The sequence below is a fragment of the Homo sapiens genome, chromosome 20, assembly GCF_000001405.40.
Source record: "Homo sapiens chromosome 20, GRCh38.p14 Primary Assembly".
Lineage (NCBI taxonomy): Eukaryota > Metazoa > Chordata > Mammalia > Primates > Hominidae > Homo > Homo sapiens.
This window is the reverse complement of record NC_000020.11, coordinates 34,928,170-34,956,141: the sequence shown is the minus strand read 5'-3', so window position 1 is coordinate 34,956,141 and position 27,972 is coordinate 34,928,170. Positions and strand designations below refer to the sequence as shown.

Below are 27,972 nucleotides of genomic sequence, written 5' to 3'. Positions count from 1 at the left end.
GCCTCCATTACCACGGCCACCCCCACCCTTATCAATTGTGTGCCCCTGAGGTAGTGACTGTCCCGCTCTGAGCATTAGTTTCCCCATCTTCCACTAGTCGTCGTCAGCTCTGACGCTCTATGAGCTATGCATACCCGTAGCTCCCCGCCGACCCCGATGGTCCCCTCCCCTCCTTCCCAAGGTCCATCCGCCAGGGTGCAGCCGACGCACTCCTAATGCTAAGGCCGCCCTCTCATCGACCGCCCCTTCCTGGCCTCGACTCAGCGCCAAAGGTATGGGTCTCTGCCCCGCCTGCTCTTTAAGCCTAGCCGGGGCGGTCAGCGCAAGCGCACTGGGTCGCATCGAGGCCCCGCCCCCTGAGCCTGGGTAGCGGCGCGAGGGCCGGGAGAACCGTTCGCGGAGGAAAGGCGAACTAGTAGGTTGGGGCGGCCACGGCGGCCGGCATGGGTCACGTTTCCTCGGGAGGAACGATGTGAGGGAGGGGTCTGGCAAGAGATTGGAATTCCGGAGGCCGGGAGACCTTGTGGCTGAAACCCTTCGTAGGAGCGGGGCAACTAGTGTCTAGTGAGGGGGTTGGGCTGGCGCGCACTGATCCCAGACTTTCCGGATCTTCTGCCTTTAGATCGGGCCGGTGTCGGGGCATGTAGGCCAGTGAGACTGGAGCCAGTTAGAGCTACAACGGGGAGCGATTAGGGCCAAACTTTGTCCAGGGTGGAAGCGAGCGGGCCCGTGAAGTGGGGCCAGCCTGGGCAGCCGACCGTGTCGTTGCCTCGGGGCCTTTCCAGGCACTGGCCTAAGTCCTGGCGATAAAGTGCGACCGATTTCCTTGTGGGCGTTTTGAGGCTTTCGGTGATCTGACCCGTCTGTCATTCATTCTTCATTCATTCATGTGATGAATGAATACAGTACTAAGCGCGGCTAATTACTAGGTAGAGAAGTGATCAAGACAAACACTGTTCCTACGGTACAGGGAAAAGTGATGGGCTGTAGAATGTAGAAGCCCGGGGCGGAGAACAGGGACAGCTTCCGGAACGAAATCGCGAGCCCAGATCAGGAGTGGTGGCGAGAGTTCCAAAGAGAAGACAGCACGTGCCAAGTCCTGGAAGGGGGACAGAGGCCAACATATCCTGGTCACTGAAGACACCTGACTCTGAATCTGTTTCACGCCCAGGGAAGAGATGACAGTGGCCGGGGCTAGGCTACAAACTCTGGAAATGGAGATAAATAAAGGAATTCAAAGTACTATATACTTAGGCAGCAAAATCCATAGGATTTGGGGAGAGTGAGATGTAGGAAACAAGTACTCAAGGCTTGGGTACCTGGGTGGGGTTCATCAGAGAAGAAGCAGATTTGTGGGAGACAACAACAAATTCTATTCTGGTTGTATGGAGACTCGCAGGAAAAAATTGGATATTCTAGTTTGAAGGTAGGAAAGTATTGCTGTGAAGATGTAGATTTGAATGTCATCAGCAAAACATAAATAAAGCCAAGGGAGGGTTGAGGCTGTAGAATGAGAAAAACAAAGGGCCCACTTAGCACCTTCATCTGATTTCTTTTCTTTCTTTCTTTTTTTCTTTTTTTTTTTTTTTGACAGAGCTTTGCTCTTGTTGCCCAGGCTGGAGTGCAATGGCACGATCTCGGCTCACTACAACCTCCACCTCCTGGGTTCAAGCTATTCTCCTGCCTCAGCCTCCCAAGTAGCTCGGATTACAGGCATGCGCCACCAGGCCCGGCTAATTTTGTATTTTTAGTAGAGATGGGGTTTCTCCATGTTGGTGAGGCTGGTCTCGAACTCCCGACCTCGGGTGATCCGCCTGCCTCGGCCTCACAAAGTGCTGGGATTACACGAGTGAGCCACCACACCTGGCCCATGGTGATTATCTTTATGTCTTATCCTCCTCCATATCCCCAGTACCTAGTCAAGGGAGTGGCATTAAATGCAAATCAGTGTTTGCCAACTAAATAAAAGCCCAACAGCAAACAGATGTTGGAATTTCAGAGTTGTGGAACGATGGGGGCTCATGGAGGGTTTCATTACTCTAATGTCAAGGTAATGGGTTCTTGTCCTGGCTCTGCCACTAGGCTTCTGTGTGACCTCTGACAAGTCTCCTCCTACCTATAAAGAGAGTACAGCCAAAAAATGGTCTCATGTATAGAGCTTCAAACACTGCTGATAAATTTCACACTGATTTTTCTCTTTTAATCCACACAGCAATCTTACTTGAAAGGGAAGTCGGCTGGGCGGGGTGGCTCACGCCTGTAATCCCAGCACTTTGGGAGGCCGAGAGTGGGGGATCACGAGATCGAGACCATCCTGGCTAACACGGTGAAACCCCGTCTCTACTAAAAATACAAAAAATTAGCCGGGCATGGTGGCAGGTGCCTGTAGTCCCAGCTACTCGGGAGGCTGAGGCAGGAGAATGGCATGAACCCAGGAGGCGGAGCTTGCAGTGAGCCGAGATCGTGCGGCTGCACTCCAGCCTGGGCGACAGAGCCAGACTCCGTCAAAAAAAAAAAAAAAGAAAGAAAGAGGGAGGGAGAGAGAGAGAAAGAAAGAAAAAGAAGGAAGGAAGGAAGGAAAGAAGGAGGGAAGGGAAAGGGAAAGGGAAAAGGAAGGAAGGAAAGAAGGGAAAGGGAGAAGTCGTATTATTATGGACTCAAACCCAGGTCTGTCTGTCTGTCTGACTTGAACCTTGTTCTTTACTATGATTGCCCTCATGTATGTCTCACTCAACAGGGATATTATCAGGACCCTCTTGAGATCACATGCGCATTCTTTCAAAGCATTGTGCTGAGGCTGGCAGACTTTCATAATTGGCCTGGCACTGGCTCTGTCATGGGGACAGGGGGACAGAGCTGAATGTGATGGAGGTTTCCTATTATTCTCTAACTCCCTTCCTGGGGACCACTGAGTTGGGCAACCATGTTCTGTTAAATGGCAACAGGGCAGAACAAAATTAGTGACTGTGTTTCCAGATTTTTACCCAGATCTTAAACTCCTGAGGCCTGCTGAAAAATGAATGAGTATCAGGGTGTGAGTTTGTACACCTCTGTATGTCTCTGGGCAACCAATCAGACAACTTCTCCTATTACATTGGACACTTGGGTTTCAGCAATTTCCATCTTGCTAATGTGATTTCTCAAAAATATTTTCTGTCTTTTGGTGCTTTGATGATAAATGTCCATATATGGAATGTAGTCATTTCCTGCTACTAAGATTCCTTCTGGTTTGTATAAGGGAGGAGTTCACCTTATTCGCATTTCATGGTATTCCACAAAGAGCTCCCTCCCCCTTCCCATGTAATTTATTTGAGATCTGCTGACATGAGTTGTTGGAGCTTGAAGGGAATTAATAATGTACTGCAGTGACTCCTATCCCAGGAAAACTTGTTAAAAATACAAAGCCTCGGCTGGGTGTGATGGCTCACGCCTGTAATCCCAGTACTTTGGGAGGTCGAGGCGTGTGGATCACAAGGTCAGAAGATCAAGATCATCCTGGCTAACACGGTGAAACCCCGTCTCTACTAAAATACAAAAAATTAGCCAGGCGTGGTGGTGTGTGCCTGTAATCCCAGCTACTCAGGGAGGCTGAGGCGGGAGAATTACTTGAACCCAGGAGGCGGAGGTTGCAGTGAGCCAAGATCGAGCCACTGAACTCCAGCCTAGGCGACTGAGTGAGACTCCATATCAAAAAAAAAAAAATACAAAGCCTCAACCCCTCCTTCCCATCAGGCCTCTTGCATCAGAGTCTCTGGGATGGGGCCCAGGAATCTGTATTCTTTCCCAGCTCCCCAGAATGTTCAGCCAGGTTTGGAAACTGATCTATCCGATTCTTCTTGTTTCACAGTTAGGGAATCTGTAGCTCTGGGAAGGGAAGGAACTTGCCCCAGTCACATCTGATATTAGTGCTTCTTTCTCCAATGAAGAGCCTTTAGGCTGGGAGTCCAGAGACATGGGTTCAAGTCCAGGCTATACCAGTCATCACCTCGGGCAAGTCATTTCACCTCTCCAAGCCTCTGCTTCCTTACTGTGAGAATAATGCCATTGTGTTGGGAATCAAAAGAGAGAGTGGCAATGGAAATGCTTTGTCAAGCTTTCTATTTTGTGCACATGGAAGTTGTTAAGAGCTAGAACCAGCCAGTGTTCACTCCTGTATACCACGCTGTTCCCTTCCAACAGAGGTCAGGGTCCTGCTGTGTTGGGGGTGGCCGCCAGCCAGTTTCGGTGGTTGCTGGGCTTCAGGCCATCTGTTACCAACTCTCTTCTCTCCATCTTTTGCAGGTGTTGGGATGGCCACCAACTGGGGGAGCCTCTTGCAGGATAAACAGCAGCTAGAGGAGCTGGCACGGCAGGCCGTGGACCGGGCCCTGGCTGAGGGAGTATTGCTGAGGACCTCACAGGAGCCCACTTCCTCGGAGGTAAGCCCCTAGCTCCTCCCCACAGCATTCACCATGGCCCACTGTCTGGCCCCGGCCAGGCTGAGGGTCACTCCTTTGCATCAGGGACCATATCTCTTTTGCCTTATTTTTTCCAGTAACTAAAATTGATCTCTAGAAGTAGAAAATAAAAAGGCAGTGTCCTGGAGTAATCAAATTTAAATATGGGGTTTGAAGTGTGACTTAGGCAAATTACTTAACCGCTCTCAGCTGCAGTTTCTTCAGGTGTAAAAATGGGATAATAATAGGACCTACCTCACTGGTTTGGTAAGAGAATTACAGGATGATTCATGTGAAGCACTTTGCCCAGTGAGCTATTACTGAAAACCCCATAATCACTCTACCTTCTCTGTAACTGGTTTGTGATATATGCTTTCAAGCCTTTCTCTGTGCATTTATATACATAGATAGGTATATATAGAAATACGTCTTTTTTAAAAAACAAATTGTATCATATATATTATTCTATGATATGTTTTTGGTTTTTTATTTGTCTGTCTTAGAACTTTCTAATGCCTTCTATTAGGGTCATCTTCATTCTGAGGCATAGTATTCCAGATGTGGGTGTATCACAGTTTAGCTTCCCTCTACTCATGTCTATTTAGGTGATTTCTCATTATTTTATGACCATAAATAGCATTATAGGGAACATCCATGCATATGTCTGTTGGGGCACCTATGTGAGTGTTTCTCCAGGTTCAATACGTAAAAGTAGAACTGCTGAGTCCAAACCACACCTTTTTAAAACCTCATCCTTAGGGAAGAAAAAAAAATAAAAAAATAAAATCTTTTTTAATTTGGTGACTAGGTAAGACATTTTCATGGTTCAAATTCAAATGGTACAAGAGTTTACCCTAATGCAGCTTGTGTTTTGGTTTCTTGTTGATCCTTTCAGATGGCTTATTCATAACAAGTAACTAATAACAAGTAAATATATTCCTTGGGGCCTCGCTCTGTTGCCCAGGCTGGAGTGTAGTGGCACAATCTTGGCTCACTGCAACCTCCGCCTCCTGGGTTCAAGCAATTCTCCCACCTCAGCCTCCCAAGTAGCTGGGACTACAGGCATGTGCCACTACGCCTGGCTAATTTTTTTTTTTTTTTTGGTAGGGACAGGGTTTCACCATGTTGTCCAGGCTGGTCTCAAACTCCTGACTTCAAGTGATCCACTGGCCTCTGCCCCCCAAAATTGCTGGGATTACAGGTGTGAACCACCGTGCCCAGCCTCCTTTTGCCCACTTTTTTTTCTTTAACTTAACAGTACACCTTAAGACCATATTGGTGACTAAAGAGCTGCCAACATCTCTTCTTTTTTTAGCCAGACCCATTCTTTTTTGTCTCTGTGTGCCCAGAACCTACACAGGCCTGATGGAGTCCACACTCAGTAATTGTTTGCTAAGGCCCAAGTAAATGACAATGTCTGTCACCTAAGGCAGGCTGATGGTATGGAATAGAATTGCTTGGGCTGTGAACCTAGATTTTGTGAATTACTTGTATGAATCTAAAATGAAGCATTTTCTCTTCCACGCTTTTGTTTCTTCTGTTAATCAATAGGTACCATGTGAAGATCCAACACTTGGTCTTTCTGGGAGGTTATGGAGCCTAGAAAAGGCGTAATCCACAATGAGATTTCTAATCCAGAAAAAAAGTCAGAAAGTGTACGTGTGTGTGTATGTGTGTGTGTGTGTGTGTGTGAGAGAGAGAGAGAGAGAATGATTTTACTCCAAATCTTTACCAAATGCCTGCTCTATGCCGGGCCATTGTAGGCACTGAGGACAGAGAGGTGAGTCAGCCAGAGCCCTAGCCTCTGGGGCTCCTGGTCTAGTTAGAGAACATACCACAAAACAAAATTAAATAACATCAGCTCTATGAGGAAACACAGGCAGTCTGCTACACAAAGTTAACTATCATTTATTGAGTATTTAGTATGTGCCAGGCATTATTCTAAACACTTTGGAATCACTGACTCCTCACCACAACAGAGATAAGGAAACCGAAGCCCAGAGAGGCTAAGTAACCTACCTGAGGTTATTTAAATGGTAAAATAATTGGCAGAGCCAGGATGTGAACCCAAGGAATTTGGCTCCTGAGTCCATGCTCTGAACATCCATGCTTTTTTTCCTCTCCCAAGATACTATATAGGACAGCTGGAAGAAAGAGTAGTTCATTATGATTAGATGATTGAGATGGGGGGTGGTATTTGAACTAGACCTTAAAAGACAAATAGGGAAAAGGAACAGCATAGCAAGGACCCAAAAGTAGGAAAAGGCAAAAAAAAAAAAAAATGTTCAAGAGAATGCAGCTGAAATGCAGGGCGCATAAGTGGATATAGTGGGAAAGAAGGCAGGCCAGCGTCAGACAGCCGCGGGGCCTTAGCTACTGGGTGGAGGAGGAGTATGAACTTTATCCTGTAGATCAGAGCTGCAAACTAGCCATATCTAGGCTGAGTATTTGGCTCCTGCAGTGTTTGGGGAGTTAATTTGTTTTTTACAATAAGTAATACGTTCAAATACATTTGAACAGGGCGCAAAATTCAAAAGGGTATTCAGTACAGAGTAAGTCCCCTTCCTCCAGCCACTGTTTCCCTGACCAGGGGCAAGCATTGTTAACAGTTGTTTTCACCAGAGTATTTTTAAAAAGTCAGAGCCAACATTTAAAAAAAAAAATCATGAAATTAAAACAAAAAATCTAGCAACCCAACTTGTCTTGAAAAATTATATCATCTGGCAACTCTGGCCTACTTTCCTGCATGGCAACAATTGGCTAGAGCAGAGTTCTGGCTGCCCCCTTTAGAGAAGATGCAAGTACTTCTTTTTGCCACAATTCCTATCACTCCCTGTTGCTTCCTGGCTACAAAGCAGAATTTTGTCATGCACGTGCTATAGGTTTTTTTAAATAGTAGAAAAATGTTTCTTTTTTTTTTTTTGAGACAGAGTCTCACTCTGTCGCCAGGCTGGAGTGCAGTGGCACGATCTCAGCTCACTGCAACCTCTGCCTCCTGGGTTCAAGCGATTCTCCTGCCTCAGCCTCCAGAGCAGCTGGGACTACGGGTGTGTGCCACCACGCCCAGCTAATTTTTGTATTTTTAGTAGAGATGGGGTTTCACCATGTTGGCCAGGATGGTCTCGATCTCTTGATCTTGTGATCTGCCCGCCTCGGCCTCCCAAAGTGCTGGGATTACAGGCATGAGCCACCGTGCCCGGCCAGTAATGTCATTTTATGTTAATGTCTCTATCAAAAGTGAGAAGACTGTGTGTTTCAGCCTTTAGCCTGTAGATAGCAGAGAACAGCTATAAACTATTGATCCTAAATTCAGGAGGGCATAATGAGCCCTGGGACAGAGGCAGAGGGATGTCTTAGCAGAAAAACTCTGAGTTTTTGAGGCCAAGATGAGACTTGTTGGGGGCAGCAGAGCTCTATGTGTTCAAGCCAAGGAAATGCTCCTGTAGTCATCACATAGCTACTCAGGGTATTAGGTCACCCCTTATGTAATCTGCAGTCATTCCCATTCTAACTCATAAAGGCTTCAGACTGAATAAACCTTATTCTCACAAATAGCCTTCCTCAGTTTTATCTTAGATGCTGAGGCCAGGGCAGTGGTACACACCTGCAGTCTCAGCTACTGGGGAGGCTGAGACAGGAGGATTGCTTGAGCCCAGGAATTTGAGGCTATAGTGCACTATGATGGCACCTATGAATAGCCACTGTATTCCAGTCTGGGCAACATAGTAAGACCCCACTCCAAAAAAAAAAAAAAAAGATGCTGAGAAGGGTAATTTAGAAATTATCTACCAAAATTTAAAATAGATTTACCTGAATTACTTGATATTTTTACTTTTAGAAATTTAGAATGTATGGACTTTCTCATATATGAAAATATCTAGAATGTATATTCTAGGATACCCATTGAAACATTAATGGTAATAGGAAAATAAAGAAACCACCTATATACTAGATTCAATAAATTATGGTATATCCTAAGAGTAGAATAATATACAGCAATTAAAAATAATGAAAATGCTCTATTTGAACATATAAGGAAATATTTAAAAAGCACAATGTAGTATAGTTTGCTATGGGGGTGAAAAAAAGAGAAAATATATGTGTATACATATATATCAATACAAAGATGACTGGAAGGATGTGTGAGACACTAGTCTGTCATTTGCCTCTGGGGAGGAGAACTGGGTGGCTGGGGCCCAGTCTTTTCCCCAGGAGACTGGAATGAGAGTGAGACATACTTCTCACTATATATTCTTATGTCTCTTTTGAATTTTGTATCATGTATTTGTATTACCTGTTAAAAAAATAATAATATTTTGGCTGGGCATGGTGGCTCATGCCTGTAATCCCAACACTTTGGGAGGCTGAGGCAGGCAGATCACTTGAGGCCAGGTGTTTGAGACCAGCCTGGACAACACAGTGAAACCCCATCTCTACTAAAAATACAAAAATTACCTGGGTGTGGTGGCACACACCTGTAGTCTCAGCTACTTGGGAGGCTGAGGCAGGAGAATTGCTTGAACCCAGGAGATGGAGGTTGCAGTGAGCCGAGATTGTACCACTGCACTCCAGCCTGGGCAACAGAGTGAGACTCTACCTCAAAAAAAAAAATAGTACTTTAAAAATAAATATCTAAATACCAAGTTCTAACACCGTAAACTTATACCACCATAATGACAAACTGATATTAACTCAAAGGTTAAACTCAGGAATGCTTTATAATACAAGTCACAAGATTTTCTTTTCATCTCTTACCCAAGTTCTAGTTCAGTTGTTGGCAGGGATCTCAGAATGCACTTTTCCCTTCTAGAATCAGTGTCCTTGATGGTATTTGGGTTTCTCGTCTATGATAAAGTCCAAAGAATGCGGAATGCAGCTGAACTCTAGGCCTGTTAACCTGAGTCACCATCACTAACATTGGTGGAAAAAACACTCCTGGCTTCTACTAAGGGAACCAGAGTTCACTTGTCCTACCCAGTAACCAAATCAAAATCAAAAGGCAAGGAAACTGGAGTGTGAGCTCCTGATGCATGGAAGGGCCTGGGCTTGAACATCAACCAGCAAGGAGCAGGCTTCCATGTATGTATGTGTGTGTTGTGTTTAGTAACCATCCTGGTTCAAATCCCAGCACCCCGTTACTAGCTGAATATAATTTTGGATCTGTTAACTGTTCTGGTTCAAATCCCAGCACCAGTTCCTAGCTGAATATAATTTTGGATCTGTTAACCTCTCTTTCTCAGGTCCCGTCTCTGTTAAGTGTGGATAATAATAGTATCTTCCTCACAGGGCTGAATGATGAATCTATGTAAAGTATTTAAAATAGTACCTTGCACATAGTAAGTGCTCAATAACTTGTGGGTTTCTTTTTGTTATTTGCATTTTGCTTTTTTGCTTCTCTCTCTTCAATACGTAGAGATAAACTATCACAGAATCTGGAAGCTCTCTGGGTTCCACTCTCCCCCTTCCACTCTCCCAAGGTAACCACTAATCTACAGTTGGTGTGTCCTCAGTAAATATAGGCCAGACTTTCCATGGGATTCCATTTGCAGGAAGACAACCCGTTCACAGGTGCCCTACCCCTGTCCCATTCTCTCTTCTTGATCACAGGTGGTGAGCTATGCCCCATTCACGCTCTTCCCCTCACTGGTCCCCAGTGCCCTGCTGGAGCAAGCCTATGCTGTGCAGATGGACTTCAACCTGCTAGTGGATGCTGTCAGCCAGAACGCTGCCTTCCTGGAGCAAACTCTTTCCAGGTAGGGGACAGTGAAGCATTGGGGGGCCAGGAGCTGCCAGAGCCAAGGAACTGGAAGATTGCAGAGCCGTGAGGTGTTACTGTGTCAGCTGACTTGGTGGGATAGAGGAAAGGTACCTCCAAAGAACAAAAAGTCATAGGAGTCAGGAAAGCTGGCTTCTAATCCTGGCTCGACCAGTTATTTATATGGCCTCAAGCCACTCCCTTTCCTTCTCTGGGCCTAAGGTTTCTTCATCTGAAAAATGAAGAGACTGGCTTAAATCCAAGATCCCTTTATTGTTGACATTCTGTAATCCGTGACACCCTACTTTGAAGACTGATATTTCCATTTGGAATTAGGGGAAGTCAGCCTGGTTTTGGAGGAAAACAGAGGTAGGGAAGGTTATTGGGTTAAAGTCAGATTTTCTACTTCTCCTAAGCAGCGACACTTTCTTGTCACCTCAGGCCTCTCATCTTTGGATGGGATGGGGTACAGACTGGGCCACACTCAGGGCATGAGGAAGCAACCTCTGAAATGGTTCAGCCCATCCGCCCTTCTCTGTCTCTTTCCCTTGATCTTTTTTTTTTTTTCTTCAGATTCTGGGGCAATTTCTTAAAATTTCTTTATTTATTTTAGAATTAAATATATATAGGCTGGGCGCGGTGGCTCAGGCCTGTAATCCCAGCACTTTGGGAGGCCGAGGTGGGTGGATCACTTAAGGTCAGGAGTTTGAGACCAGCCTGGCCAACATGGTGAAACCCCGTCTCTACTAAAAATATAAAAAAATTAGCTGGGTGTGGTGGCGGGTGCCTATAATCCCAGCTACTTGGGAGGCTGAGGCAGGAGAATCGCTTGAACCCAGGAGGCAGAGGCTGCAGTAAGCCAAGATCACGACACTGTACTCCAGCCTGGGCGACAGAGCGAGACTCCATCTCAAAAAAAAAGAAATAATAATACATATATATATGTATATATATTCATTGTAGAATTAAATATCTAGAAATATTATGTATTTACATATACATGCTAGATGTGTATATACTGTACAGGTTGAGCATCCCTAATCCAAAAATCCAAAAGCTGAAATGCTCCAAAATTCAAAACTTGTTGAACACCACATGACTCTACCAGTGGAAAACGCCACGCCTGATGTCATGTGACAGGTGCAGTCAAAACACAGTCAAAAGTTTGTTTCATGCACAAAATTAATTAAAATATTGTATAAAATAATCTTCAGGCTATGAGTATAAGGTGTATATGAAACAAATGAATTTTGTGTTTAGACTTGAGTCCCATCCCCAAGATGTCTCATTACGTATATGCAAATCTTCCAAAATCCGAAAGACTTCTGGTCCCAAGCATTTCGGATAAGGGATATCCAACCTGTAATTGCATGTCTTTGATTAATTTTTCAACAGAAATTAGACTTTTGTTGGAGACAAAATCTTTTAAAAATGTGTGGGTGAATATGAGAAGGGGTCATAATGGTAAGAAGCTTGGAAACCATTGACTTGTAGCCAAAAACCCAATGAGTCATGAATGTATGAATCTGCCCACCACCTTGCCCCTGAGCTGTTTCTTGGAATGGGCCCAGCTTTGTACCTGCAATCCTGGATTGTGGGAAACATGAGCAGCCTGGCTTATAACCCTAATGATGCAATTATGAAGGAGACTTGCAGCTCATCTTTGCAACCCCTGCCTTCTCTGTTCCTCTCTCCTCTCATACACATATAAACCCTAGTTCCTAAGGGAGAAGAGCCCCCTACAAAACATGAAGGGGAGCACCTCTTCAGAAAAAGGAAAGTGTGTCTCAACTTCCTTGGAGGCTGAAGCCCAGCTGGGACTCTCCTCCTAACCAAGGGCTGGCATGAGAGAGCTCACCCTTGGGAGAGAGCTGGCTGAGGAGCAGAGGAACTTCAGGGCAGGCCTGGGCTACTTGGCTTCCCCCCACTGGTCTGCTGTGACGTTTCTGTAACAAGGTGATTCAGGCTTGAGCAGGTGTGCAGAATCCACCCTGAATCTCAAAGGGCAGTAAGTGTGATGTTAATCACCTGTGGATTCCTTCTTACTGTGGCTCTTGTTGAGACTTCAGAAAACCATACTGGATAGGCCCCTAACACATGTCACATGTCATGGCAGTACACTGAGCTGTGACGATGAGCCTGCATAGACACAGCCATTACCTTCATGAGGTTTATAGTCAAACAGGAGAGATGACACTAATCATCACACAAAGAAAATGTAAAATTGCAACTGCAGTCAGTGCTGTAAAGGAGTGGTTCTTAGTTCTATGAGAACACATAGTAGGGGGATCTGACTCAGATAGGGAAGGCTTCCCTGAGGAAATCACATCATATGAGGACTAGTTGAAGAAGAAACAAACAAACAAAAAAAACCCAGGATATTTAGCTTGGGTCAGAAAAATCTTATTGGTGCACAGGGCATAACTGCTGTCTTCTAATCTCCAAGGGCTGCTGTGGAGGAGGAGGAGAAGGCTCACCCTGGGAGGTCGCAGAGGGTAGGAAAAGCTATGGAGAGTTAGTATTAGGTCAACCAGAAGGCTTGCCAACCATCAGAGCTATTCAAGTAGAATAGATACATCATGTCATTTTCTAGCTCTTCTTCGGTGCAGTATGTTCAATTCTTTGAATGTAATATCTTATTGGCTTTTTACCACAACTCTATGATATAAATATAATTATATTCTCCATTTTAAAGATCAGCAAACTGAGACACAGAGAGGTGAAATGATTCCCTGAGGTTGCCTACTAGTGAGTGGTAGAGCTAGGATTTGAACCCAGGTCTAGAGTTGGATTCTTAGCCACTGTTCTCTACCACATTGGGGCGGACATTCAAGTTTTGGCCAGTAGACTCAGAGAGGATTCAGGAGTCAATGACTGAGGATGGGACTCCTTGAAATTTTAGGTCCAATTAAGCCTGCAAAATGTTCTCTGTTTCTTCCTCCAGCACCATCAAACAGGATGACTTTACCGCTCGTCTCTTTGACATCCACAAGCAAGTCCTAAAAGAGGGCATTGCCCAGGTAACCATTCCCAGCCCTACTCCAGTCTGTAACCTGTCCCTCCCATCTCTGTTTGTTTTCTGTTTTGCTTGAAGAATTTGGTCCAGGCCCTCAGCTCATGGGAATCTGCCTCTCACTGGTCCTCACTGGGTTTATCCCAGTGACCAATTCTAGGATGACCAGAAGAATGATTCCACTGGGCTTGGGAGTGTTTGCTGGTACCTCTAATCTCTGTGTAGAGTTCATGGTACCTGTGTGCTCTGTGGCTAGGTCCTCAGAGTCAGTCCCTGGGCAGGTACTGTCAGCCTTCAGTTTTCCCCACAGACTGTGTTCCTGGGCCTGAATCGCTCAGACTACATGTTCCAGCGCAGCGCAGATGGCTCCCCAGCCCTGAAACAGATCGAAATCAACACCATCTCTGCCAGCTTTGGGGGCCTGGCCTCCCGGACCCCAGCTGTGCACCGGTGGGTCCCCTGGGCAGCCCCCGGCATACCTGTGGGGTGACATGCTGATGGGTGTACAGTCACTGGCTAGGCCAGGGAACTCCAGCTATGATTGTGCTTTCCTGGGCCCCGGGTCACATGTTGCCCCTGGCCACCCCGACAGCAGTTTCCACTTGTAATGAGATCCTTGGTATGTCAGGGAGAAAAAGGACCTCATAGCTCATCTAGTCCTGTCCCTCCATTGTACAGGCAGAGGGAACAATATCTTGAGAGCCCCAGAGAGAGGAATGCAGGGACTTCTGTCTGGGGGCTGGGCCTGGTAGCATCCATTTCTAGCCAGCAGTGATGCTCCAGGTTGCAATGATTTTAGATGGTCTGCAGCAGGATTCCAGACAGCACCTGGAGGCCCAGAGTAAGGGGCTCCAGCTCACTGGGACACTAGGGTAGGTTGGGGTGGGGACAGAGGCTCTCAGGTCTCCTCCAGGCATATACACCAGGGGCCAAGGTTAGGGCAGCCCAGCATATTCCAACCTGAAGTGGATCTTACAGGAATGTGATGGGAGGATGCTTTTTAGTGCTCAGCTGATTCTCAGAGTCATGTTGCTGTATATATGAGGTCATGGGCAGAGGGGTCTTCCAGGTCCATCCAATTACTGAACAGCCATCTCTCTTCCAACAGACATGTTCTCAGTGTCCTGAGTAAGACCAAAGAAGCTGGCAAGATCCTCTCTAATAATCCCAGCAAGGGACTGGCCCTGGGAATTGCCAAAGCCTGGGAGCTCTACGGCTCACCCAAGTAAGGGTGTGAAAAGGTAGCAGGAGGATCCTGCTTTAGTTTCAGCATTCATGGGTTTAGCAACTTCTTTTCTTGCCAGCCATCATTAGAGAATAAGGGGATTTTTCTAGGAATAGAAACTTATACCTTTACATGCCAAAATTATTTTAAGGTTTCCTTCTTAAATAACAGATGCTGACTATGATTTAACTTTTTCTTATTGAGTGGAGGTCATCATTATGACTGTCAACAATTGCAGCTTGCTGTAATACAGTAGTGCTACCTAGGGTTAGAGAGGCACGCAAGGCTGTTTGCCTGCGCTAATAGCTCTGACTGCTAGGCTTTAAGTTCTTAGTCATTTCCTTTTTTTTTTTTTTTTGAGACAGAGTCTCACTCTCTCACCCAGGCTGGAGTGCAGTGGTACAATCTTGGCTTACTTCAACCTCCACCTCCCGGGTTCAAGCAATTCTTCTGCCTCAGCCTCCTGAGTAGCTGGGATTTCAGGCGCATGCTGCCACACCTGGCTAATTTTTGTATTTTTAGTAGAGACGGGGTTTCACCATGTTGGTCATGCTGGTCTCGAACTCCTGACCTCGTGATCCGCCCACCTTGGCCTCCCAAAGTGCTGGGATTACAGGCATGAGCCACTGCACCCGGCCTCTCATTCATTTTCTTCATAGTTTTCTTGTCTGTTTCCCAATTCTCAGCTCTTACTTTTGACTGCTGTTGGTATGCTTGAATTTGGAATCCTCCACCCCCCATGCCCATGCCTCCCTTCTGATTTGCTGTGGTTTGGGAAAACAAATGATCCAGATTGTTATGATTGGGTCTGAAGAGTGTGAGGGCCTCTTGGATGAGTAAATGCATAAGCTTTGACTACGAAATTTTATGGTATCCTTTTTAACTGCTTAGAGGCATTTTTTGCTTTCTTCCTATTTCTCAAGTGAAGATGTTAGGTAAGTGATTTTCAGATCATCGAGGGGCCGCTATACTAACAGTTATTGCAATGTTAATATAGCATTAATAGTCCTTAATGTACACTTACTAGTGCTACACCTTGTGCTAAGCTCTGTACATACAGGATCTCATTGAATTCTCATAATAAGCTCTCTGAGGTCAATACTGTTCAACTCCCTCATTTTACAGATGAGGAAACTGAGGTTCTGAGAAACGAAGTGAATTGTTAAGGCTAAGTGATGAGTTGGTGGCAGATCCCAAAGTCTACCTCCCTCTAAAACCTCCACTCTTAATCATGCTCTTACCTCCAAGGGAGCCTCTCTGTCCTTGCTAAGCCTCACTAAGCCCAAAGAAACCTCAGACTGTAAGCATTTAGAAGTCATCAGACAAATATTCTTTCAAGTATATTGGCTAGGTTGTATTTTAAGAGAGTGAAGCCAGGGGATGGGTCAGCTGGGGAACTGCTGACAGACAAATGCTGCAGAGGGTTTTGCCTGCCAGCCTGTCAGTAACGTGGACAGAAAATACTTGTGTGTCCAAAATTAGGCACTGGTAGGTAGGAGTTATGTGGCACCTGAGCCAGAACTGGCTTCCCCCATTGTGAGAGTGAGATAGGTTCTTCTGCTGACATAGCACATGACCTTGGCAAGTTAGTTCTTCTCTGAGCTTCAGTTTCCTCATTTGTAAAATAGGAGTAATAATAATACCTAAAGGGGTGTTAGTGAGAATTAAATGAGATCATGGATCTGAAAAATGTTTTTAAAAATCTGTGTGGATCATTATGTGGTACTTTCAATAATAATAATAGGCCGGGTGCAGTGGCTCACACCTCTAATCCCAGCACTTTGGGAGACCGAGGCGGGTGGATCATCAGAGGTCAGGAGTTCAAGGCCAGCCTGGCCAACATGGTGAAACCTTGTCTCTACTAAAAAATACAAAAATTAGCCAGGCATGGTGGCAGGCACCTGTAGTCCCAGCTACTTGGGATGCTGAGGCAGGAGAATCACTTGAACCCGGGAGGTGGAAGTTGCAGTGGCCAAGATCACCCCACTGCACTCCAGCCTGGGCGACAGAGCGAGACTCCATCTCAAAAAAAAAAAAAACAAAAAACAAACCCAAATAATAATAATAATAGCTATCATTTGACAAGTATTAGTTTTAATTCATACAACAGCAAACTGAGGCTAAGAGAGTTTGAATAACTTGCCCAAAGTTACACAACCGGTAAGTATAGAATTCATCTGCCTCTAAAGCCTATGTTCTCTCTACTTCCCTATTCTGCCTTTAAGAGATATGGTTCCACAGTATTGACTGAAAAACTGCATTGGTAGAGCAGATTAATTTTCGTCAATTATCTCATGATTTTTAAAATTTCTTAAAAATGGAAGCCTGCAAAATGACTTACAATTTCAATTTAGACAAACTCTCAAAGCATAGGGCCTGTGGTTAGAATGAGTAGAATAAGAAAAGGGGACTACTGGTGATAAAAGTTTGGGAACTGTGATCTTTTTAACACCAATTTTTTTCTTTTTTTTTGAGACAGAGTTTCGTTTTTGTTGCCCAGGCTGGAGTGCAATGGCACGATCTCGGCTCACTACATCCTCCACCTTCCAGGTTCAAGGGATTTTCCTGCCTTAGCCTCCCAAGTAACTGGGATTACAGGTGCCCACCACCACGCCTGGCTAATTTTGTATTTTTAGTAGAAACGGGGTTTCTCCATGTTGGTCAGGCTGGTCTCAAACTCCCGACCTCAGGCAATCCGCCCGCCTCGGCCTCTTAAAGTGCTGGGACTATAGGCGTGAGCTACCATGCCCAGCCATAACACTCTTATTTTATAGATGGGAAAACCAGGGCCCAAGGAACGAAATTGCCTTACCCAAGTCAATTACCAAGACACACTACAAGTCACTGGCAGAGCCTGGACTACCTACGACTCAGGGGTCCTCACCCCCAGCCCGCATGCGTCCTTAGCTGACAACTTTCCTACTAGGAAACAGACTGCTGAGAACTGCTCAGAACTGAAGGCAGGAGAGGTCAAATATGTTTTCTGAGCCCAGCTCTGATTGTTTAGCAGTTGGCAGGCTGACTTAATTAGCTGGGGCGTGCAGTTCCTCTTTAACCTCCAGCTGCCAGCCTTCCTCCTCCGCCTCTTTTTGGAGGTGGGCCAGCCTGGGCCAACTGCCTCCCTCCCACACACACCCTCACCCATGAGCGGGACAGTTTAGGCTGCAAAGTGAAGAGCAAAGCCATTGGCCCTTAGGACTCTCTCAGGGCAAGATGACTTGTGAGAGCACCACTTTTAGTTTGTCTCTCAGGCACCCAACTCAAAGCCAAGACTCAGCTTAACATCACATCTGACCTCATGAGATTTCAGGCAAACCAGGAGAGGGGACTTACTAAGACCTATATTTTGGCTAAGCAGAAAGGAGTCAGGCAAACAGAGTTTAGACTAAGAGGTTCAGCCAAGGTCAGGAGAAGCAGAGATAGACAAGAGAGGCTAAGCAGAGGAGGTCAGGGAATACACACTTAGAATCCTAAGCCAAAGCCTAGGGTTCCATGGGTCTCAGGAAGAAGCCACAGACACAAAGCAGTACAGTCACAGCAAAAATGGAGTTTGGAGGCTGAGCGCAGTGGCTCACACCTGTAATGCTAACACTTTGGGAGGCCGAGGCGGGCAGATCACCTGAGGTCAGGAGTTCGAGCCCAGCCTGGCCAACATGGTGAAACCCCATCTCTACTCAAACTACAAAAATTAGCCGGCGGGGGTGGTGCACACCTGAAATCCCAGCTACCCGGGAGGCTGAAGCAGGAGAATCGCTGGAACCCAGGGGGTGGAGGTTGCAGTGAGCCTAGATTGTGCCACTGCACTCCAGCCTGGGCAACAGGGGGAGACTCCGTCTCAAAAAAATAAATAAAATAAAATGTAAAAGAAAAAAAATGCAGTTTGGTACTGCTGAGCATTAGCCCTAGGAATCTCTTAGGGGACTGGACCTATCTTTGACAACGGAAATATGTTAGCTGGCAGCCAAACAGATAGTTCCCTGGCATAAGCTTTTCCCTGAGCCCTCAAGCCCCTGCCTCTTTAAGAAATACATGAATAATCAGAGAGGAAGAAGCCACATAAGCCCTAGTGATCTCATTAATACTATGAGATCAAATGTGGCCCTGTGTACATTATAGGAATCTTGGGAGGGCCCAGGAGATAATGTCGTTGTTTGTAGTTGGCCCTGTGGGTTTCTGTAGGGTTCCATCTTGTGTAAGAACCACATTCCTTTATTGTATCCTTTACAATCTAGTAATAGAGCCATTAGCCCCGGACCCCCTGCATTGTTCTTTTACAAAATGTTCCTCAATACTCCCACTTGTTTATTCTTCCAGAAAGATTTTAGAATTATGTTAAGTTCTAAGAAAAAGTCCTCTTGGGTTTTTGAGATGGTTTTAAATCTAAATTTTAATTTGCACAGAAATTCATCAACCCATGACATCATTACAATATTTCATCTGCCCACTGGAGAAGGGTCAGAGGCATCTTCATTTTTGAAGTTTTCTATTTTCAGGAAATCATATGTGATAGCATCAGGTGTCTATGCCTGAGGTAATCTCAAGGTTCCTGAGAGAGGGAACATCTGTTCTTTCAGGGAAGCGGTGTTCTTATTCTTATTCCAGGAGGTGGGGCGGTATGGGGGTTGAGGGGAGAAACAAAAGAAGAACAAGTTCTATAGTAGCCTCGGGCCACCTGTGCTCTTTCCCCAGTGCTCTGGTGCTACTGATTGCTCAAGAGAAGGAAAGAAACATATTTGACCAGCGTGCCATAGAGAATGAGCTACTGGCCAGGTAAGTAAAGGAAGGGGGACTTCTAGGTGTGGCTCCAGGATTAGGGGTGGGGCACTCAGAACATAGCATCCATTCCCTCTGGCTCTTGCCCATTTTTCCCAGGAACATCCATGTGATCCGACGAACATTTGAAGATATCTCTGAAAAGGGGTCTCTGGACCAAGACCGAAGGCTGTTTGTGTAAGCATTCCCAAGAATCCAGTGGAAGGCTGGTTTATGAAACTCATCCTGCCACCCTCTTCCCCAAAATGATTCTTTCTTCTGGGAGATGTGATGGCTTGCTTCCTTCTCTCATAATTCCTGAAATATCTCATCCTCCCAGGAAATTTTGGAGAAAGCCAGCCACGCTGTGCTTCTATCAGAGCTGTTGACATTCTGGATCAGGGTCTCCTTAGAGATCATCTTAGTTTTCATATGCCCTAAGTTCCCAAAAGTTTTCTTGCCTCTCCTAGTAAGGTGAGGTCAGGCCTGAGAAGCTGAGCTGGGCAGTCAGGGAGGAAGAGGAGCAGCTGGCTCATGCTGTGATTGGTCTGGATGCCACTGTCTGAGCTCGAGCCTGGATTTGTGTTCCAAGCCAAGCCTTATCCTTTTCTCTAGGGGCCACCACCAGGTAGATTTGGTGCTACATATTTGGGTAGCATTGCAGCACATATATTTAGACCTAGACCTTTGTGATTGTTAAAATTAAAACTGTCCATGGAATTTCACAATACCACTCACTGTTTTTCAAAATGTGCTTTTATCATAACTAAACAAAGTAGTTAATTTACTTTTCAGATAAACTAGACAATATCAAATAGGTCAAAGAAAAGGAAAAGACATTTAAAAAGCCTGTGTCTTAATCAGACTCATCATTTTACATGTTTGCGTTTTCACCTTCACCCCTGCCATTAAAAATTTTTTCATTCTGGTTTCAGCTGCTTTAAGCAGTGGAAATATAAAGTGTGTTTTACTACACATGGCAGTATGATTCTGCTGCTCGGTAATTTCGAGCCAACATTTGTATGCATTTACCAAATTTGATTCTAGTGACCTTCTTGTTCCTTCTGGCCTTCTTAGAATGACTCTAAATCTGGCATATTCTAAAGTATTCTGTATGGCACACCTCCCTGTTTTCAGTGGAAGCCCTGGTAGTGTGGATATCTACTTTCACTGGTTCCAGTGAACCCCTGACCAGGCTCCCACTGTGGGCTGAATTTTGAAAAAGCCAAATTCATCTTGATGCACCCTGAAATAGATTGAACCACTGAACAAATCAGTTATAATTTAACACAGCAGCCTTCTCCATCCTGTGTTCCAGGGATGGCCAGGAAATTGCTGTGGTTTACTTCCGGGATGGCTACATGCCTCGTCAGTACAGTCTACAGGTTGGTATTTTCTGTGAGACCATTCTTTGCCTCCTGGGACCCACAAGAGCTCCACAGAGACCCAATTCAGGCTTATAACAACCTGGGTTTTCCGAGTCCTCACTTCACTTCTTTCTCAGGGAGCTTGCTGCTAGAACCTCCTATCCTCCCTCAAGCCTTTTGCTACCTATCACTCTACACAGTCTTCTAGAATTTGAATCCTCAGGAATCCACAGAGCTTCAGCCATTTACACTGTTTCCAGAGATGTGCTGGCAAATGTTTAACAACAATCAGCTCTCACTGGTTGATATAAGCCAGTTCCAGCATACTGCTGACCATTTTTTTTCCTGCCAACTCTTACCTTTCCTTTATCTGAATCAGAAAGTTTTATCATCTCCTCATTCATGTTAATGACAGTTATATCACCTCATTTTGCTATCCTACCATGTAGTTTCATTAGTTTCCACATCCATTATTTCATTTAACCCTCACAACCACTCGGTGAGGCATATAATTATCCCCATTATACAGATGGAGAAACTAACGTTTAGAGAGATGGAGAGGCTTCTCTAAGGCCCTACAGGAAGTTCCCAGGTTTTCTGACTTTCAGGCCGATGGTATTCCCATTCTTCTCCTCTGCTCCTAACATCCACATCATGGAGAGGCTAAGAAGCTCTGCTCTCAGCTGGGAGATGATAAAGGAGGAAATAAGTTTAGAAATACCATGGGCAGTGAGCTGGAGGTCATGAGCTTGACTGCCTCTGTGTGATGATGGGCAAGTTCCTGACCCTTTCTAGGTCTGTTTCTATGAGCGGGGGGAGCTACACTAGAAAACTGAGGGGGCTCCTTCTAGGTCTGTAATTCATCTAGGACTCCCCCCGAGGGTTGAGCTCCACATGAGGAGGCTCTATAGAGGTGGTATCTCGATAGAACATCCTTTTCTTTAGATAGGTGGTTAGCAGTGGTGGCAACTTGCTGACTACAGGAGAGATAAACTGTCTATTAGAAAAATAGGTCTAGGCCGGGCACGGTGGTTCACGCCTATAATCCCAGCACTTTGGGAGGCCAAGGCAGGTGGATTACCTGAGGTCAGGAGTTCAAGACCAGCCTGGCCAACATGGTGAAACCCCGTCTCTACTAAAAATACAAAAATTAGCCGGGCGTGGTGGCATACCCCTGTAATCCCAGCTACTCAGGACGCTGAGGCAGGAGAATTGCTTGAGCCCGGGAGGCAGAGGTTGCAGTAAGTTGAGATCATGCCACTGCACTCCAGCCTGGCTGACAGAGCGAGACTCTGTCTCAAAAAAAAAAAAAAGAAATGGGTCTAGATTTCAAAACACGACAAAGAAAACTTAGAAGAGTTTGAGATAACAAGGAAGGAAAGTAGTGTTTAAAGAGGTAGACTTTTTTTTTTTTTTGAGACAGAGTTTTGCTCTTGTTGACCAGGCTGGAGTACAGTGGTGCGATCTCGGCTCACTGCAACCTTTGACTTCCAGTTTCAAGCGATTCTCCTGCCTCGGCCTCCTGAGTAGCTGGGATTACAGGCACCCACCACCACACCCAGCTAATTTTTGTATTTTTAATAGAGACAGGGTTTCACCATGTTGGCCAGGCTGGTCTCGAACTCCTGACCTTACGATCCACCCACCTTGGCCTCCCAAAGTGCTGGGATTACAGGTGTTAGCCACCACACCTGGCCAAGAGGTAGACATTTTTAGGGAACTGAGCAGCTCAGAGCAGGTTTAGACATGGAGAGAGATCTAGAAGGCTTAGTGACTTACTAGATGACCCTGGGCAAGTCCTTGCTTATCTTTGGTTTTGCTTTCCTGCTTCTACCATAATGGGGTATTTCTCTGGGTTTATTTCTGATGTTCTGGTCACGTGTGATTCTGCGTGGAATGCCAGACTAGTAGTTGGGTTCCTGGGGTTATTGATGAAGATCAGGTCAAGGTGCTACAGGTGGACCAGTAGTATCAAAGGAAGGACAGCATTGGGTGGGGGTCACAGGAGAGACCTGATCCTGCTGTGTGCAGTTTGCAGTGGTCTGGAGCCAAGGACAGACTGTCTCCCCATTGCATGAGAATGGGAACCAGAGTTGGGAGGCATGATCCCCTGCTGTTTCCTTGCCTTTTATACCCTCAGCTCTTGTGGTAATAAACCATTCATCCTGTGATCATCCACTTGAGACCTGTGTTCATATTATTCTCTTAGCCTGAGTATCCCTTCCCTATTGAGTCTCACTTGTCAGGCTCTACCTGTCCTTCAGAACCCCACTCAAATTTCAACTTATTCAGCAACAACAACAAATATTTATTGAGCAACTACAAAGTGCCAGGAACTGTGTTAGACACTGGAGATACAACAGAAAATGAGGAAAATGATAAGAGCCCTGTGCTATGGAGCTCACAGTCTGGTCAGAGAAATGGGCATCAGAAAGTAAACAAAAATATGGCCATTTACTGTGGCTCGTACCTGTAATCCCAGCACTTTGGGAGGCCTAGGTAGGTGGATTGCATGAGCTCAGGAGTTCAAGACCAGCCTGGGCAACATGGCAAAACCCCATCTCTACAAATAATACAAAAATTAGCTGGGTGTGGTGGCGTGCACCTGTAGTCCCAGCTACTTGGGAGGCTGAGGAGGGAGGATCACTTGAGCCCAGGAGGTAGAAGTTGCAGTGAGCCAAGATTGCGCTGTTGCACTCCAGTCTGGGTGACAGAGCAAGACCCACGTCTCAAAAGAAAAAAAAAGTAAACAAAAATAGGAAAAAAAAATTGGGATTTGTGTGTGTATGTTTGTGTGCGTGTGCGTGTATGTGTGCATGTGTGTGTTTTAGTCTCAGGTAACTGCTTTCAATGAAACAACTGGGTAAAAAGAGAATTATGGGAAATCCACATTAAATAGAGTGGACAGGGAAGCCTTCTCTGAAAAGGTGACATTGAGCTGAGATGTAAGGATGGTAAGGATCCAGCTATGCATGGGAAAAGCCGAAAGGAAGGGGGTTTCAGGTTGAGGGAAAAGCAGTGCAGGCCCTGAGGAGGGAAAGAGCTTTGTGATTTGAGGAATGACAGGCCTGTGTGAGTAGAATGGCAGAGACTAGGAGTCAGGGATGGTACAAGGTTGAAAAAGTAGACAGGAGCCAGCTCCTGAAGGATCTTGAAGGCCATGGTAGGGAGTATGGAACACAGTGGGAAGCTGAGCACGTAGACAAATGTTCTACCCTTACACCTTCTATTGTTTCCCACAGATTGGGGGATTCTTGCCTTTGCAGGGGCTCACAGTCTGGCACAATGATACATAACTACAACATATCACACCTGGCTCACAAGGATGTTAGAATGATCCTGGGTGATAATGAGGGTGAAGATACAAATCATGATACCTGGCACCTAATGGATGGATGTTCAGTAAACGTCAGCTGAAGTAAAATAAAGTCGAATTCCTTTTGTCTTCTTCCCTCTGCAGAATTGGGAAGCACGTCTACTGCTGGAGAGGTCACATGCTGCCAAGTGCCCAGACATTGCCACCCAGCTGGCTGGGACTAAGAAGGTGCAGCAGGAGCTAAGCAGGCCGGGCATGCTGGAGATGTTGCTCCCTGGCCAGCCTGAGGCTGTGGCCCGCCTCCGCGCCACCTTTGCTGGCCTCTACTCACTGGATGTGGTACGTGGGCAGCCTGTTTCTCCTACCACAGGCCTCCTAGGTGGCAGAGACCTACAGCCCAATGTGTTGGGGAGGGTGGAGCTGGCATTGTGACAAGGGGAAGGTGGAGCTGGCAAGGTTGGTGATGCTCTGGAGAACCCCTAGAACTCTGAGCAGAAGGGCAGCCTCATAATGGAAGGATGGGGGCTGGAATCCATTGTAAGCTCCCTCAGCAAAGGTAGAGATGAGGATGGCAACCAGAGGGAAGGGACTAAGGCAGGTGGCAAGAATTGAGAAGTGTATCAGGCTGCCTGCTGCAGAGCCCTGAGCTGTTGCTAAAGAAAGGCCTGTTCTCATTGCATCGGCTGCTGCAGGGGGTTTGTTGGGAGTGTCATCCAGATAGTAGCATCCTGCCTGAAGGAATTTGTGGCTGTTCTCCCTCCTGCTCTTCCTCTGATGCTGCTCTGCATAACCAGCTGGACCTAAGCTTCTTGCCTCTTTAGCCTTTAAACTTTTGATAACTGCTTTCTGCCTCCTGCCAGGGTGAAGAAGGGGACCAGGCCATCGCCGAGGCCCTTGCTGCCCCTAGCCGGTTTGTGCTAAAGCCCCAGAGAGAGGGTGGAGGTAGGTGGATCTCCCTTTGCAGGGCTCCTCAATGAGAGGGACTAGCAGGCTGTGGCCAGTGCTCATTGGCACTTACTCTGGGCACAGTCCCGGGCATGGGGGAAACTATTGGAACTGACACAGGCCACATGTTGGACAGTGTCCCCTAAGACCCTGTGACCAAGTCCGGGAGCACAGGGGAATCTGATTAACCAGCATTGAAGGGTTTGGACAAGTTTTACCTGAGGTGCCTGTGGGTAGATTGTTGGGAAGTAGAGTAGGGTCATATTAGGAGACTGGAGAGAATACATGTCTGTTTTCCTTTCTAGTTTGAAACTCCTTGAGGTCAGGGGTCATGTCTGCCTCTCCAGAGGAGAGGATTTTTTTAATCTTTGTCTTAAGAGGTGGGTAGGAATTTCCCAGGTGGAAAGGAGGAAGAGTGTTCCATACAAAAGGGACAACCTCAAGCCAAGGCACCGGGCCATGAAAGTGTGAGATGTTTGGAGGTTAATGAGAAACTGGTGAGGCTGGAGGGGGAGCTGGGAGGGGACAGGGATTTAGGCTGGAAAAATGGTTTGCATCCTGATTATAAAGGGCCTTGAATATATACTGAGAAATTGGATTTTATCTTAAGGGCAGTGGGAAGCCATTAGGGAGTTTTAAGCCAGGAAGGGACACATTGATCCAGGACTCAAGTGGTTAGCAGTGGTGGGAACTTGCAAAACTTACAGTTTCTGCATTGTAGAAGATGTCCTGGAATGAGGGGAGACACTGGAAGCAGAAAGACCGTGGAAGAGGCTGATACAGTTGTTCAGAAGAGCAACGTAGAGGCCTGGGCTAGGGCTATGACTATGGGGCCAACTGGAGAGACATGTCCTAGATAGTGAGAGGGTAGTGGAAGGGAGGAGTTAAATATGACTCAGGGGTACCTTTTGCCTGATTGGGAGTAGGAAGGTCCAGGAGGGGCAGGTTCAGGCAGAAGTAATAAGTTCTGCTTGGACAAGTTGAGTTTGTTTGGGGGCCAGTCATATGATGTCTAAGCAGGGAGCCTGCATTAAATATTTGGAAGTTAACAATTTTTTTTTTTTTTTTGAGACGGATTCTCGCTCTGTCACCAGGCTGGAGTGCAGTGGCATGATCTTGGCTCACTGCAACCACTGCCTCCCAGGTTCAAGCGATTCTCCTGCCTCAGCCTCCTGAGTAGCTGGGACTACAGGTGTGCGCCACCACACCCAGCTAATTTTTGTATTTTTAGTAGAGATGGGGTTTCATCATATTGGCCAGGATGGTCTCAATCTCTTGACCTCATGATCTGCCTGCCTCGGCCTCCCAAAGTGCTGGGATTACAGGCGTGAGCCACCATGCCCGGCCGGAAGTTAACAATTTTTAGGGTATAGATGGAGACTCAGGAATAGGAGAGATCTCCTTGGGAAAATGTACATGGGGGAGAGAGCAAGCGTGGAGGACCAATTCCCCTGGGACCCCAGCATTTAAGAGAAGGAGCCAGCAATGGAGCTTGAGAAGGAACAGCTGTAGGTAGGAGGAGAACCAGGGCAGAACAGTGTAGTGGAAGATGTGTTCACTGCATGAGTAAGGGCTCTCCTGTCAAAGTGAGCTTCCCTCCTGAGAAGCCAGATATGCCCTGGCTTCACTGAGCGGGTGCCAGGAACTGAGGCTGCTGACTTGCCCATGTGGCCCCAAAAGTGAGGGCATGGGATGGAGGAGGTAGGCAGAGGGTCCAGGGTGACTGGCCAGTTTCATTGCAGGTAACAACCTATATGGGGAGGAAATGGTACAGGCCCTGAAACAGCTGAAGGACAGTGAGGAGAGGGCCTCCTACATCCTCATGGAGAAGATCGAACCTGAGCCTTTTGAGAATTGCCTGCTACGGCCTGGCAGCCCTGCCCGAGTGGTCCAGTGCATTTCAGAGCTGGGCATCTTTGGGGTCTATGTCAGGTGAGCCAATCAGGAGAAGCTCTTTCCACTACCTGCTTGCAAGAGTGCCAGCCAAGTGAGCCAGCCTAGAGGGGAACACTGGAAAGAGTCAGGAATCCTGGGCTTCGGTGCCAGCTCTGCCAATCACTAGCTTTATTACCTGTTTCTTTATCTATTAAATGAGGCCAAGGACCCAAGACCTGCCCACCTTACCAGGGTATCAGATGAAGCCCTGATGAGAAGTCCTTTGCAACCGTGAAGGAAACTCCAAATAGCACCAAGAGGACTCAGAACACATGGTTTGACAACCTAGGACTAGAAGGAGACTCCAGAGAGGCATAGAGACTCTAAAATCCTAGCACTTTCTTGGTATAGACAGTTACCCAGGTACTGCTCAGCTGGGTCCAGGGAAGGTCCTGGGTTTGGGGCTGAGTCCAGGTGATGTGTGTCCCCTGCCTCCATTTCTATAGGCAGGAAAAGACACTCGTGATGAACAAGCACGTGGGGCATCTACTTCGAACCAAAGCCATCGAGCATGCAGATGGTGGTGTGGCAGCGGGAGTGGCAGTCCTGGACAACCCATACCCTGTGTGAGGGCACAACCAGGCCACGGGACCTTCTATCCTCTGTATTTGTCATTCCTCTCCTAGCCCTCCTGAGGGGTATCCTCCTAAAGACCTCCAAAGTTTTTATGGAAGGGTAAATACTGGTACCTTCCCCCAGCTTTCCATCTGAGGACCAGAAAAGTTGTGTCTCCCTTAGATGAGATCTAGACGCCCCCAAATCCTTGAGATGTGGGTATAGCTCAGGGTAAGCTGCTCTGAGGTAAAGGTCCATGAACCCTGCCCCACTCCTGTCAGCCCCTCATCAGCCTTTTCAGCAGGTTCCAGTGCCTGACTTGGGATAGGACTGAGTGGTAGGAGGAGGGGGAGTGGAGGGGCATAGCCTTTCCCTAATTCTGCCTTAAATAAAACTGCATTGCTGATTCAGTGATGATTCCTTACTTCGTGCATAGAGGGGAGGCGGGAGCTGTAATCTACGTTAGCCCACTTAAGATGTATTAGAGCAGGGAAGTGACTGGTCTGTAATCAGGGTCCCCCTAGACCAGTCTCTACAGGTGGAACCCTGAAGTTTCAATCCTTAGCCACCCACTAATGCTCTTACTGGATCACAGGGAGGAATGAGAGTCCCTGGCAGGAGCCCAGGAGGGAAGGCAACCAAGATGGGACATACATAACAGTTGTGAACTGGC

General features: G+C 46.5%; 2 protein-coding genes across 4 annotated transcripts in view, besides 2 other annotated features; one reads left to right on the top strand and one right to left on the bottom strand.

Moving 5' to 3' along the window:
- Positions 1-274, bottom strand: part of MYH7B (myosin heavy chain 7B) — a 46,570-nt gene extending 46,296 nt beyond the window's left edge. Inside the window, exon 1 of the mRNA NM_020884.7 lies at positions 135-274. The gene's annotated coding sequence lies outside the window, so the exon portion shown is untranslated. The remainder of the gene's footprint in view (positions 1-134) is intronic.
- Positions 9-188: an enhancer, noted in NCBI's record as "active region_17771". NCBI's record gives its function as "activates an Ori minimal core promoter by ATAC-STARR-seq in GM12878 lymphoblastoid cells {active_cell/tissue: GM12878}" and the evidence as "EXISTENCE:reporter gene assay evidence [ECO:0000049][PMID:35858748]".
- GSS (glutathione synthetase) lies at positions 115-27,710 on the top strand. 3 transcript variants are annotated; one of them, NM_001322494.1, is made up of 13 exons: positions 115-272; positions 4,282-4,418; positions 10,044-10,189; positions 13,136-13,211; positions 13,515-13,654; positions 14,313-14,429; positions 19,119-19,199; positions 19,302-19,379; positions 20,500-20,566; positions 24,009-24,203; positions 24,725-24,806; positions 26,552-26,741; positions 27,191-27,709. In NM_001322494.1, the coding sequence occupies exons 2-13, from the start codon at positions 4,290-4,292 to the stop codon at positions 27,312-27,314; spliced, it is 1,425 nt and encodes a 474-aa protein (NP_001309423.1). In that variant the 5' UTR covers positions 115-272; positions 4,282-4,289; the 3' UTR covers positions 27,315-27,709. The 3 variants fall into 3 exon arrangements, with proteins under 3 accessions (NP_001309423.1, NP_000169.1, NP_001309424.1); NM_000178.4 differs by lacking the exon at positions 115-272 and adding an exon at positions 336-415 and having other exon boundaries at positions 27,191-27,710; NM_001322495.1 differs by lacking the exon at positions 115-272 and adding an exon at positions 507-1,426.
- Positions 429-528: an enhancer, noted in NCBI's record as "active region_17770". NCBI's record gives its function as "activates an Ori minimal core promoter by ATAC-STARR-seq in GM12878 lymphoblastoid cells {active_cell/tissue: GM12878}" and the evidence as "EXISTENCE:reporter gene assay evidence [ECO:0000049][PMID:35858748]".

Coding starts and splice junctions, on each gene's coding strand:
- GSS (NM_000178.4), top strand. CDS start 4,290: ATGGCCACCAACTGGGGGAGCCTCTTGCAGGATAAACAGCAGCTAGAG. Junction 19,200..19,301: donor GAGAATGAGCTACTGGCCAG/GTAAGTAAAGGA, acceptor CATTTTTCCCAG/GAACATCCATGTGATCCGAC. Junction 24,807..26,551: donor GCCCCAGAGAGAGGGTGGAG/GTAGGTGGATCT, acceptor GTTTCATTGCAG/GTAACAACCTATATGGGGAG.